Source organism: Homo sapiens, chromosome 3 (assembly GCF_000001405.40).
Source record: "Homo sapiens chromosome 3, GRCh38.p14 Primary Assembly".
NCBI lineage: Eukaryota > Metazoa > Chordata > Mammalia > Primates > Hominidae > Homo > Homo sapiens.
Genome location: NC_000003.12, coordinates 483,315 through 496,120, shown reverse-complemented (window position 1 = coordinate 496,120; position 12,806 = coordinate 483,315). Strand labels below are relative to the sequence as shown.

General features: G+C 38.3%; 2 long non-coding RNA genes across 2 annotated transcripts; both read right to left on the bottom strand.

The window, feature by feature from the left end:
• Nucleotides 1-2,775: 2,775 nt before the first annotated feature.
• On the bottom strand, nucleotides 2,776-4,948 carry LOC124909337 (uncharacterized). Its single transcript, XR_007095783.1, has 2 exons — nucleotides 3,301-4,948; nucleotides 2,776-2,948 (listed from the first exon to the last, which is right to left on the bottom strand). It is a non-coding gene; the product is annotated as an uncharacterized LOC124909337 (long non-coding RNA).
• A 430-nt stretch (nucleotides 4,949-5,378) lies between these two features.
• Nucleotides 5,379-12,481, bottom strand: LOC105376922 (uncharacterized). The gene is made up of 2 exons (XR_940538.2): nucleotides 12,136-12,481; nucleotides 5,379-8,697 (listed from the first exon to the last, which is right to left on the bottom strand). It is a non-coding gene; the product is annotated as an uncharacterized LOC105376922 (long non-coding RNA).
• Between the last annotated feature and the right edge of the window lie 325 nt (nucleotides 12,482-12,806).

The window sequence follows — 12,806 nt, the reverse complement described above, 5'->3', positions numbered from 1 at the left end:
AGAACATTTCTGCATGATCACAGTGTGTATGAGGAATCATAGCACGCAATATTACTGGGAACCACAGAGTCAGATCATGGATGGACTTTAACGCTATGCCAAGAAATACGAATTTTATTCTATGATGAACTCGTAAACACTCCTTTTGATGATTAATGAAAGAACGTAATGGTGAAGAATCATCTATTAGTAAGAGTGGAGCATTCCACCTTTGACTGGACTGAGTCACTTTGGCCCACAAATACAGTCTCAATTTTCAACTTAATTAAGAATTTCAAATAAAGGGTTTTTAAATACATGCCATATTTATCTTTACTTTGTAGTTTTCAAAGCTACAATAAATGTCTGCTTCTTAGCCTGGGCCTAAGTTTAATTCCTCTATAAACAGCCCTCCCTCCTTTGCTTGATTCTACCAAAATACTACATCATTTAAGTTTCTCTTAAATTTTGCTCTTCCACAGACCCCTACTGTAACTGTGTCTCTTCCTCTGCTTGGCGAGCACCCCCATAGTTCCTCCAGTGGACAGCAAGTTAAGAAGCCCCACTTTGTTGCACTACGGGTATGTCCTTTCAGGCCTTTATCATATAGACTTTGTCATTATGGGTCAGCGTTGTCCAATGGAACTATAATGCAAGCCACATAACTAAATTTAAATTTTCCAAGCTGGACATGGTAGCTTACACCTGTAATGCCAGCACTTTGGAAGGCTGAGGTGGGCGGATCACTTGAGGTCAGGAGTTTGAGACCAGCCAGGGCATCATGGTGAAACCCAATCTCCACCAAAAATACAAAAATTATCCAGGTGTTGTGGCATGCACTTGTAATCTCAGCTACTTGGGAGGCTGAGGTGGGAGAATGACTTGTGCCCGGGAGGCAGAGGTTGCAGTGAGCTGAGATCGCACCACTGCACTCCAGCCTGGGTGACAGAGCGAGACTCCATCTCAAAATAAATAAATAAATTTAAATTTTCTAGTTGTCATGTTTTAAAAGTTTAAAAAGTAACAGATAAAATTAAATTTAGTACTGTATCTTATTTAAAAGTATATATAAAGTATTGTTCAACATGTAAGTAGCATAGAAAATTATTAATGAACTATTTTGCAGTATTCTTTTTGAACTATGTTTTCCAAATCTAGTATGTAATTTACATGGATGGCACATCTCAAGTTTGGCCACATTTCAAGCACTCAATCTCCATATGTGGCCAGGACTACCATGTTGGATAGTCCAGTTCTAGATATAAGCTATCAAATAGAACATTCTGAGTTGATGGAAACTGTGTAGAGTTGCATTGTCTAATACAGTAGCCACTGGCCACTTGAAGGCGTTGAACACTTGAAATTTGCATATTGTGACAGAGAAACTGAATTTTAATTTTCACTGAGTGTAATTTAAACAGTCCACATGTGGTTGGCGGCTACAGTTTTGAACAACGCCGTGCTAGATAATGAGAAGCTATTAAAGTGTTTTTGAACAGTGGAGTGTCCTTTAGGGAATTAAAGTTTAGGAATATTTACTAGAATGGAGAAACATAACTTTAAATGGGTGCATTCCCCATAGAAATGTGGAGCAGTGTTCCCCTGTGTTAAAGGATGATTAAACTTGTTAAGTTATCTGACCCCTATCTGATCTATCATATGACATCTGTAACAGCAACGCTATTTACCTCAATTACCCAGTCAAATCTCACACTATGTCAAGTGGTAACTCAGAAAATAACTCATGTCACCCCTGTGTCACTTTAACATCTTCATTTTTCTACAGTTGTTTTACGTCCCACAGTGTCTGACGACCTTTAACTATTTTACCCGCATAAAACTCCAGCAGGGGTAAAACTGATGAAAATTGATGATGCTTTAAAAACACAAAATTACAGTGGCTTCATTAAAAACCAAGTGTGTTTCAAGCAACTTATTCTTTGTATCAATAGGATATACAAGTACTCAAGTTAATGGTCAAACTTTTCCGTCTCTTATAATGAACCATGAAATTACACTTGGCAATCAAGAGTACTGTAGCAGATAAGTGAGGCAATTTTCTTCATCATTTTTCCTTTTGTTGTCAACCTTGTTGCAAAGCCCATTGCCTTTTCAATGAACCGTAATGTGAATATTCAAGATCGTGCGTGCGATACTTGAGCATATACGCTTAGGTCAAACCAGGTTGGTTTTGAGTTGTACATTTTAAATAGGTTATGTCAAGTAAAAGCTATATCTGGAAAGTTTTTATTAGATGACATACTCCTATATCTTGGACTTATTTTTAGAAAAAGGAATCTTTTCCTTTTTTATTGTTTTAAAAGATACTCTAGAATTTGACCTTGCATATACATGTTAGAACATATAATTTTTCAAGTATTATGAATTGCAATACTATACATAATTATATATTGATTACACTGTCTCCAAGTGTTTTATACATACAGATTTAAAATGAATGAGGAACTTACTTTCTCTATGAGGCTGAAGCAAACATCCCTGTGCTTTGTTCTATAATAATCTTTTAAGTAAAAACTCTGAGACTCTACATAGCCTTTAAGAAGTTATCAGGGGCTGTCAGGACCAGTTTATTTAACACTGTGAAACATAGACTCCTTCCTTATCTATAAAATAAGGAGAATGATACCTACTTCATGCAGCTGATAAGACAATTAAATGATATACTACTTATGCAGTGTTTGGTATTAAGTCAATGTATGGCAAATGTTACCATCATGAATGAATAATCTATTTGTTAGTATTTTGGTTGTTTTTTAATGGATAAACCCTGGAATCTTGGAGGCTTAACACAATAGAAGTTTATTTCCTGCTGATAAAAATTTCTGATAGTTAGATAGTGCTCCCCTAGGTGGTGAATCAGAGACAGGAGCTCTTTCTAGCTTCTGGCTCCTTAATTTTAAACAAGTGGCTTCCAAATACGGCCTTGGGGTTAAAGCCATTCCAGCCACCTGAAAGCAGAAAAAAAAGGATATGTGAAAACACATGACCATGCAAGGTGACACATAGCATTTCAGTCCACAGGGCACATTGCATAATATGATCTCCCTTAATTGCATAAAAGGCTGGATAGGTAGCTAACCACCAGGAAGAAAAGGAAATACTTTTTTTTTTTAATGAACACAGAGCCATCAGTGCCACAAATGCCATCAGCTTCCAAAGCTGATATACATTTCTATAGGTAAAGTATTTGACCCTTTATTTTTAGAAATGCATGTGTCTTTAACAAGAGAAAGTGAAACAAAAACTGAACTGGTTTATGTCAAAGTAAAGAAGACACAGGAGGAGGAAAGGAAGGCTCACACTGGAGATTCCAGGAGGATCTGTGGTCAAAAGGGAAAGGACCCAGATAACAAGCAGTAGTAGCCCCGGAAGTGTCTGCTAAGGAAGAGGTGGCTAGAGTCATTGTAAAACCGGTGAAGTTGCATGGCTGATTTCAAATAAGAAATGGTCCCTTTTGGTTTCTGAGTCACAGTGCTGCCCCTGGGATTCAATTCTCCTAAGGTTAAACCATCTTTCCTTGTATTGTCTGCAATGCCACAGAGTGAGCCTAAAAGAAAGGAAAATAACAGAAGATGTTTTTTGCTTGTTTTAGTATTTGATGTGTAAGAGAAGAGAATGAAGATAACCAACTGTTCAGGTTGGATCCATGAAACTTACTTGGCTCTCTCCTATTCAAACCAAAGTTTTCTTTCAGCCTTAACTTTCCATTTTCCTTCAGTTTGCCCCTCTCTTTCTCCACATCTTCAAGATGTATCTGCCTCCACTTACCTATCAACTTACTGTCTAGTCCCTCTTCAAGCCACAAACATCTGGAATCCCCTCTACTCTTCCCCCATGTAGACCAAGTTCTTAATATAAATACCAAGACCTTCTATACCTGTTCCCTTCTATTTTAATTTTATTTCTCTGCAGCATTTGGCCTAGTTAAGCAATCCCAGTGAACAGTACCACTGACTTCTGTCTAGTTTTCTTAAGCCAGAAATCCAAGTATTTCTGTCATTGTAGCTATTCCCACTCCCTCTATGTCCATGTCTAATATGGCACAAACTTCTGTCTGTTTGCTTATACAGTGAGCCCTCCATTATCAGCAGATTCTGTGTCCACTGTCTCCACATCTGCAGATGCAACCAACTGTAGATCAATATATGAAAAATAAAAATAAAAGAACAGCAATATAACAATAAAAATGCAAATTTAAAAAATAGAGTATACAAACTATTTACATAGCATTTACATAGCATTAGGCATAATAAGTAGTCTAGAGATGATTTTAAACACACGAAGAGAGATACATTATGGGCAAAGACTACACCATTTTATATCAGGGACTTCAGTATCCTTGGATTTTGTTATCTGCAGGGTTACTGGAACCAATCCCCATGGATACCAAGGGATGATTGTATATCCTTTTTTTTTAATGCCTGTAATTGTTGCACTTGTTGCCAGTTCACTTTCTAGTACCACATTTAGGTTATCACTATCTTGCCCAAATTATGACAACAACCGAGTGGTCACTTTTCCCTATCTCGCCCCATCTAGATGACTCTTTATCCTGTGGCCAGCATGGTTCCTTTAATATGTTCATCACATTAAAATCTCTCCCTGAATAAGATAATGCAATGTCTCATTATTGCTCCTATGAAAGATGATGCCTAACTCCCTAATTTGGGTTATCAAAATCTTAATCTTGTTTCTAACTTTTTTGGGGTCACTTTGCCATCCAATTTTTAACTCTCTTAAATCCAGATGCCTTGAACTTTCAGTCCCTTCAGAGAACTTGAAGGAGAAAAATCTTTCAAAACGAAGGAATTTTTAAATAGCATTGACCAGAGTACAAAACCGGTAAGTTAGTATGTTTGATGAACAGTAATCTGAAAATTGTTATTTTCATTGTTTTTATTTTATTTATTTTATTTTATTTTTTTTTTTGAGACAGAGTCTTGTTCTTTGCCCCAGGCTGGAGTGCAGTGGCACGATCTCAGCTCACTGCACATTGTTCTTATTTTTAATTGGTCATACCATACTTAACTAGTGAAATTTTATTCATATTTTAATGAGAAAAAGAAGTTCTCTGGGATGCTGTTTGTCTGGCCAAAGAATGAAGAAAATCTCAGAGAAATTAGAATTTCTAATTTCTGAAGTTATTTAGGGACTCACAGAGTCTTCATGTAAAATATTTTTATGGAGCAATATTTTTTGTTGTAGAGATTATATGTTTTTCTTTATTTCAACTTTTGCTAGAATCAAACTATTTTAACACAGTACAGAAATCCCTTGCTTTATGATTACTCTTTCCTAGAGAGATACTATAGCATATATCAGTTAATATGCAGTCATCTCCAAGTAACCACAACAGCAACCAAATAACTACAGTGGCCTTAATCACAGAATTTTTATTATTTACTAAAGATAGTAAGTAGGTAGATAGATAGTACAAGGGTTATTGAGAGGCTCAATTACATCAGGATTCCATTACATAAAGAGATATTTCTATTTTCTTAGTCCATTCCTCATGGTTACAAATGTTAGAGAGTCATTGATGTCTCAACGAGGAAGGAATGGAAAGGAGCATAGCTATTGAGATTTCTTAAGTGTGGTTCTTATCAGAAAGTGTCCCCTCCTCAGAAGTCCCTTGGCAAACCTCCACTTACACTTCACTGACAAAATTTTATTACAAGGTCTATTCCAGCTATGCATGACTAGGAAAACATGTGTTTTGCAAAAAAAAAAAAAACTAGGATACGCACAATTAACGAAAATGTATCACACACTGGCCTTTGGGGCTGATCATGCTATGGACCGAATGTTTGTATTCTCATCCCCCAAATTCATAGGTTGAAATCCTACCCCACAATATGATGGTATTAGGAGGTAGGGCCTTTGAGAAGTGATTAGGCCATGAGAAGAGAACCCTTCTAAAAGAAGACACCAGAGCTTGCTCTTGCTCTCTCTACTCTCTGCCATGTGAGGATACAATGAGAAGATGGCCATTTGCAAACCAGGAAGCATCCCTCACCAGACGCTGGATCTGCCAGTCCCTTGATGTTATACTTTCCAGCCTCCCGACTGTGAGAAATAGATGTTTATTGTTTAAGCCACCCAGTCTATGGTAATTTGTTATAGAAGCCCAAATTAAGACATTATCCCAAACAAAATCAAATATCTTTGAGTGGGAATCAGCTGGAGGATGATACTTGGGAGAAAATTTGCAGAATTCATCCCAGGGCATGCCTTATTTTTACCTGGTACACTTAAGAAAGAATAAAATATCAAGGATTTGCAAGGCCTCCATTACAGCACTTGTGGGCAATATATTCATATCAGAACAATTTTCTTTACAATGAAAAGCAAAAGCATTTATTCCATTAATAAGCTTCACTATTTCATTTTTATAATTTTAAAATACATGTTTTCAGGAATTTCTAAAATGATGTTTAGTTACTTCTTCGAAGAATCCCCAGGGTAATATTCGTTTTCTAAGATAAGTAGAAATTAGCCTAGACTTATAAGAAATAGATGATGATGCCTTATATTTATGCAATAACTTACATATTGCAAAGTACATCTATTTACATTATACCATTTAATCCAACATATGAGGTTAGTACTATCAACTTCATTTTACATGTGAGGAAGTGAAAGTTTAAAATAAAAACATTTACAAAATTGTCCTTTCTATTAAGTGATTTATCAGGATTTTGAACTATGCCTCTGTTCTTTTCCATCTTCACACTTTCATGATTCCATGCAGAGTAAGCCAATTGTTTTTCTACTTTTTAACAGTTGATCTATTCACTTCTGAAAGAATTTGAGATAATTTGTTTCAAATAAATATAAAGAATATGCATTTTTTCTTAATTTTAGGGGCACTCTTCACACCATGAGTGTTGGAATTACCCGTTAATTCCTGAAATGATTACCAAAACCTTGTTCTGTCTAAGACACTGAAATAGACAAGTACAGTCAATCTTATACTAGGAACCAAAAACTTAAAATTAGAATAAAATATGCATACAGATTTCTATAGCAATGATTAGGATACATAGTAAAATATTAAAGATTATATTTTACTGTTAAAAGATAAACTGAAGCACATTAAAATACAAACAGTTTCTTTGAGCTAACAGCAATTTATAAATCAGGCAATTCCAGACCACAGGTGGTTGGGGGTTCCACCAACAGGAGTATGAGTTACAGGCTTTTACAGGGTGAATGTGGAAACAAGGCAAAGAAAATATTTCACTGGTTGAAGTGGAGCAGTGGCCTTATTTGAATCATTCAAGTGGAAAGTTCCTATTGAGAGCTTATTTGGCAGCTTCTGACTGGTTAAGCTTAAGTTTTGTGTTACTATTTCCAGTGAATCAGGTTTCAACTTGCTTAGATAGAACCCAGAGTGCTGGAGCTGCCTCAGCCTAATGGCCTCTCAACCAATTATTTTAACATATTCCTTTAGCACTATATTATTGGCAAGCCACTCACAGATGTAGCTCACATTTGAACTGTACACTAGCCCTCTCAGATAGATATCATTATCATCCCCATTCTACAAATGGGAAAACTGAGGCTAAAAGAGGTGAAATAGAAGAGCCAGGATAAGGCTCTGTGTCTTAATCCAAAATCACTTACTTTCCACCTTGCCCATATAAATGATCAAAATGCACCATAGAGGAAGAATGAGAGCTTGTACTTTGGAATTAGGCAGGATCAGTTCTGAGTTCCAGTCACTAAGTAGCTATGTGAAGTAAGGGTGTAATCACAGTATCATCTCATGGATTTCCTGGGAGATTAAAAAAAAGTAACCTACATGAGGAGCTCAGTGGATACTAAACACACTATCTATGTTAGCTCTTATTAGGGACAGTTCCTAGAATTAACTGAGCACAGACCACGGGGCCCTGCATTATTCTAAGAAGATTTCATATATTAATTCATTAGTAATATTATTAAGCAGGAATTGAACTGAGTTCTGCAGAGAAAACAGGTTCATTAAATAAATAAATTGACCCAACCAGTACTTGTGAATGTCTACTCTTTGCCCAGCAGTTTTGAGTCACTGGTGAAGCAGCAGTAAAGAAGACCAAGTCCCTCCTCTCATGGGACTTAACATTTCCAGTAGGAGGAACAGACAAGAGATCCACGTGATCAGCACTAGGAAGAAAAATAAGGCAGAATCTTGGTTGAACAGTTGGACCATGTGATGGGTTTTGCAAAATGTTTTCAAATTCTTTGGCATTCCTCCTCCAAAAGGTGGAATTTAATTCCTTTTTCCTTGAATGTGGGCCATCCTTAGTGACTTGCCTCCAACTAATAGAACTTGGCAGGCAAGAAGAAAGCAGAGGTGATACTGTATGAGTAACTTCCAAAGCTGAGTCACAAATGGCCATTTGGCTTCCACCTAGTACTCTGTCTCTCTTTTTCTTTCTGTGTCTCTTTCTCCTCTCCTCTCTGCCTCTCCACCTGTGATCCTGGAGTCTGGCTAACCTGAAGCAACTACGATAAAGAGACCCTGACGTGATGCCACATAGAGACACAGACAGATGCTTGAGGAGCCCCAGATGTTGAGTCTTCTCAGTCCAGGTGTCAGGCTTGTGGGTGAGTGAGCCTTCAGATGATTCCATTCCCCAGCCTTTTAGCCACCTTCCTCAGCCAAAGTTGAGTGGAGCAGAAAAGAGCTGTTCCCACCAAGCCCTGCTCAGACTGCAAATTGAAAAGCAAAATAAATATTTTTGTTTTAAACCACTAAACTTTTTCAGCTACACATCCATAATAACTGGGGCAGTATTGTAAACAGGGTATGGGGAGGTTTATTTCAAGAGCAGATATTGGAATAGAGACCTGAATGGCATCAGGTAAGGAGTCATTCAAAGATTTATAGAATGTACTTTCCAGAAAGAAGGAAGAGCAAATACGAAGGCCCTGAGGTAAGAATGCACATGGTGTTTTAAAGGAATAACATGTCAGCTGGTCTGGCTGAAATGGAGTGAAAATCAGAGAAAAGTAGCAGACAAGGTGGAACAGGAAACAGGTCAGATAAGGGAGGGTCTTATTGATGGCAAACAGTTTAGGTTTGGGTATTAATGGGCTGGGAAACAATTAGGAAATAATAAGGAATAGGTTTGATTTAATTTATGTTTGGAGAAAGATCTCTCTGCCGTTCGTGTGAAAAATATTCTTCAAGGGCAACAGTCAATGACAGATGTCATTTAGGAAGCCAAGGCAGAGATTAGGAAGGGAATGATGGTGGCTTGGCTTGAGGTCTTAGCTATGCAGTTGGGTGAGAAGTGATTATATTCTGGATAGATTTTGAGGGCAGAGCCAATAGGTTTGTGGATGGATCGAATAGGAACAAAGAGGGAAGGCAAGGCTGGAATTGTCAGGGCTCCCCTGCATCGCCACACAAAGTGAAGTCTGCCTGCCAGCAGTGAGGGCATCCCAGGCAAGCTTGCTGGAAATGGCAAATCTCAGGCCCCATCTCAGTTGAATCAGCATTTGCATTTTAACAATGCACTCTGGTAATTCACATGTAGATGAAAGTTTATAAACACTGTTTTAGACACTTAAGGAGTATCAAGTAAGAAGCTTGTTCTTCAAGTCTGACCTTAAGAGGGTCAGTCAGGATAGGACATTTTTAAAAAGCAAAAGAAAATCAGGCTTTTATGAAAATTCTTGAGATGGATAATACAAATCCACAAAACTGTCTGTTGCCTAATAATAGAAATACTATTTTCTATTACTAGAAGAATCTACCATAATTCCTTCTGCTGATTGTCACACCATTTTTAAAGAATTTAGATTTTTCTTAAAAAGTATATTCAGAATATGTTTCTTAAATTGCATATTTTTTCCTTTTGGGTTTGTCATAATAGCTCACAGTATAATTTTATGAGACTCCACAGTTACGTTGAATTTCCACAGTTAGGGGATGAGTTTCATTTTTACTAGAAACTAGTAAGCCATCGGTAAAATGTTCTATTACCCTGCCTTGTTTTAACTCTTGAACTACACTTAACAGCCTTTTTGGTTCCCAACACAAGCTGAAAACTCTTCATTCCACAACTGGGGCCAACTCATCAGTTTTCTTTAAAATATAAGCTCCATGCTAGAGGCCCTTATCCTTAGCAAACTCACACAGGAACAGAAAACCAAATACCACATGTTCTCACTTATAAGTGGGAGCTAAATGATGAGAACACATGGACACATAAAGGGGAACAACACACACTGAGGCCTATCAGAGGCTGGAAGGTGAGAGGAGGGAGAGGATGAGGCAAAATAACTAATAGGTACTAGGGCTTAATACCTGGTTGGCAAAATAATTGGTACAACAAAACCCCATGACATATGTTTACCTGTATAACAAACCTGTACATGTACTCCTGAACTTAAAATAAAAGTTAAATTAAAAAATTATAATATGAGCTGCATAATAATAATAATAAATGGTTTTCCCCAAACTCTTGTTCATCGAATCCCAGATGTATGATATTTAGGGCCTTAAACAAAGATTTTTTTAAAAACTGCATACATTAAAAAAAAAAAAATTTCTCAACAACACAAAGAACATGGAAGTGCTCCAGTAATTATTTTGGAGACAAAATTATTCTTCAGGTTCCTGCAGTTCATAGATAAGAACATTTTTAGAAGTTTTATGCAAAGTTCAAGATGACAAAAAATGCAAATTTCAGATGGGTATGTTCACTGTGAAGGTTGGAAGACAAGATTAGAAAGATCTTCTTAAATTAGCCTTTTTTTCCCCCTAGCAGGTTACATGCAAGTTGAAAGTGTTGAATATAATGCATTCCTAGATAAAATTTAAGACTTCTAAGGTTACAGAAAATAGATTCTATAAACTAAACCCCAAATGTGTATTATTTCTCCTAAGATACAATTGAACCAAACCATATCTGATGACAAAAATCCAATTATAGCAGTAAAGGTTGCTCTCAGTTATTCCTTTCTTCAAGTGAAAGCAAATGGTAAAATGAAGTGAGCAGGAACCAACTGCCTTCATAAATACATGGGCTTACATTTGCTATCAATTTTTTGTTAGTGAAAGAATGAAAAGGGTAAAAGTATCTGGTGCATTGCAAATGCCATTGATATAGATTTTTGTATTGTTTTAACGGGCCAGAGAAAGAAAATAACTTTTTTCATGATAACAAGATGTTCTCTAAGGAAGACAGCATGGTGTAATGGTTACGCGTCAAAGCTCTTGAGTAAAAGGGTCAGTGGTGACAATCCTCACACTGGTGAGTTCTATGACTTATAGCAAATTACGTAACCTTTCTGAGCCTCAGCTTCCTTTTTGGTAAAATAGGGATAATAACAGTGTTACTGTCTAAAAATGAATTAGGATTTAATGAAATACTGCATATAACCATCAGAAATAGCACTCAATAAATATTAGCTATTAAAATCAGCTCAGCCTTTACCAAATATGTATTCTTGGAAGGCTAAGTTTCATTTTGCCTGAACCAGTATTGCTTTTGGACTGGCTCATTTAAGGCCTGGAAAATTACAAAGATGCCATGAACACAATTACAGCAACGCATTCCCAGTTTCTACTTTAGAGAACATGAGGGGTGATGACAGAAAAGAATTCTTTGCTGTTTCAAGAATCCACTTATGGAGAAAATGAAACCGTGGTAAGCCCCTGAGTCTGAACTATGCTGGTAAATTCTGTTTTCTCTGTAACTTTTCTGTTTGATCTTTCTAATGAACCTAGTTTGTCTAATCAGCAGAATAGTCATAGTTCCAAAGCAGTTCTTTTGTTGTTGAAAATAGGCCCCAATCAGAGGTGAGAACAATGAAACATTTATCTTATTAAGATCACAAAAGAGGAGACTTTTATGTTACATGCTCTCTCTCTCTCTTTCTCTATTCTTTAGTTCAATAACTGATTTATTCAGCATCCCATTGCTGTCAGAAGTGATGTCCCTGCTCCCAAGCTACCAGCTCCCTGCTTTGGCTCCTGGATATGGTTAGTGACCACCCGATAGTGAGCAGAGCCTATTCACTGGCTGCCTGCCGATCACCATCTCAGACCCAGGGTCTTCTTAACCTGCCAGTCGCAGGTGGAGAGAGCATCCTGCAGGCTGAACAAAGCTGGCTCTTAAGGTCTCTTCTGCCACTTACCACGCTCTTCAGTGTGGTCTCGGCAAAGCTGTCCCACCTCTCTAAGTCTCGATGTTTCTTCTGTAGCATGGCAATAACTCTGACACTTGCCGAGTTTTTTTGTGACAATTAAAGGAGATAATTATGGAAAAGCCTCTGGCATAAGGTAGGGGGTTCAGTGAATGTTTGTTCATCATGAAACTGTGGTCCCAAAGCCTCAGCATTTAAAACAAGACATTTTTTTTCTCAAGCAAAGCTTTCCTGCTTGTTGTCATACATTACCCGGGTCAGATGATTTCTCTGAGTTCCATACTCTCCCAGGGTAAGGACAAGAGCTCAGAGGTCGCCTTTGGCCTCCCCCAAGCCCTGCCCCGCGCCCCCCCCCGCCCCCACTACCCCGCTGCCCGCGAGGAGTCTCGCTCCGTCGCCCGCGCTGGAGTGCGGCGGCCTCTGCTCACTGCGACCTCCGCCTCCGGGGTCACGCAGTTCCCGCGCCTCAGCCTCGCCGCTCCGTCGCCCGGGCTGGAGTGCGGCGGCCTCTGCTCACTGCGACCTCCGCCTCCGGGGTCACGCAGTTCCCGCGCCTCAGCCTCGCCGCTCCGTCGCCCGGGCTGGAGTGCGGCGGCCTCTGCTCACTGCGACCTCCGCCTCCGGGGTCAAGCAGTTCCCGCGCCTCAGCCTCGCCGCTCCGT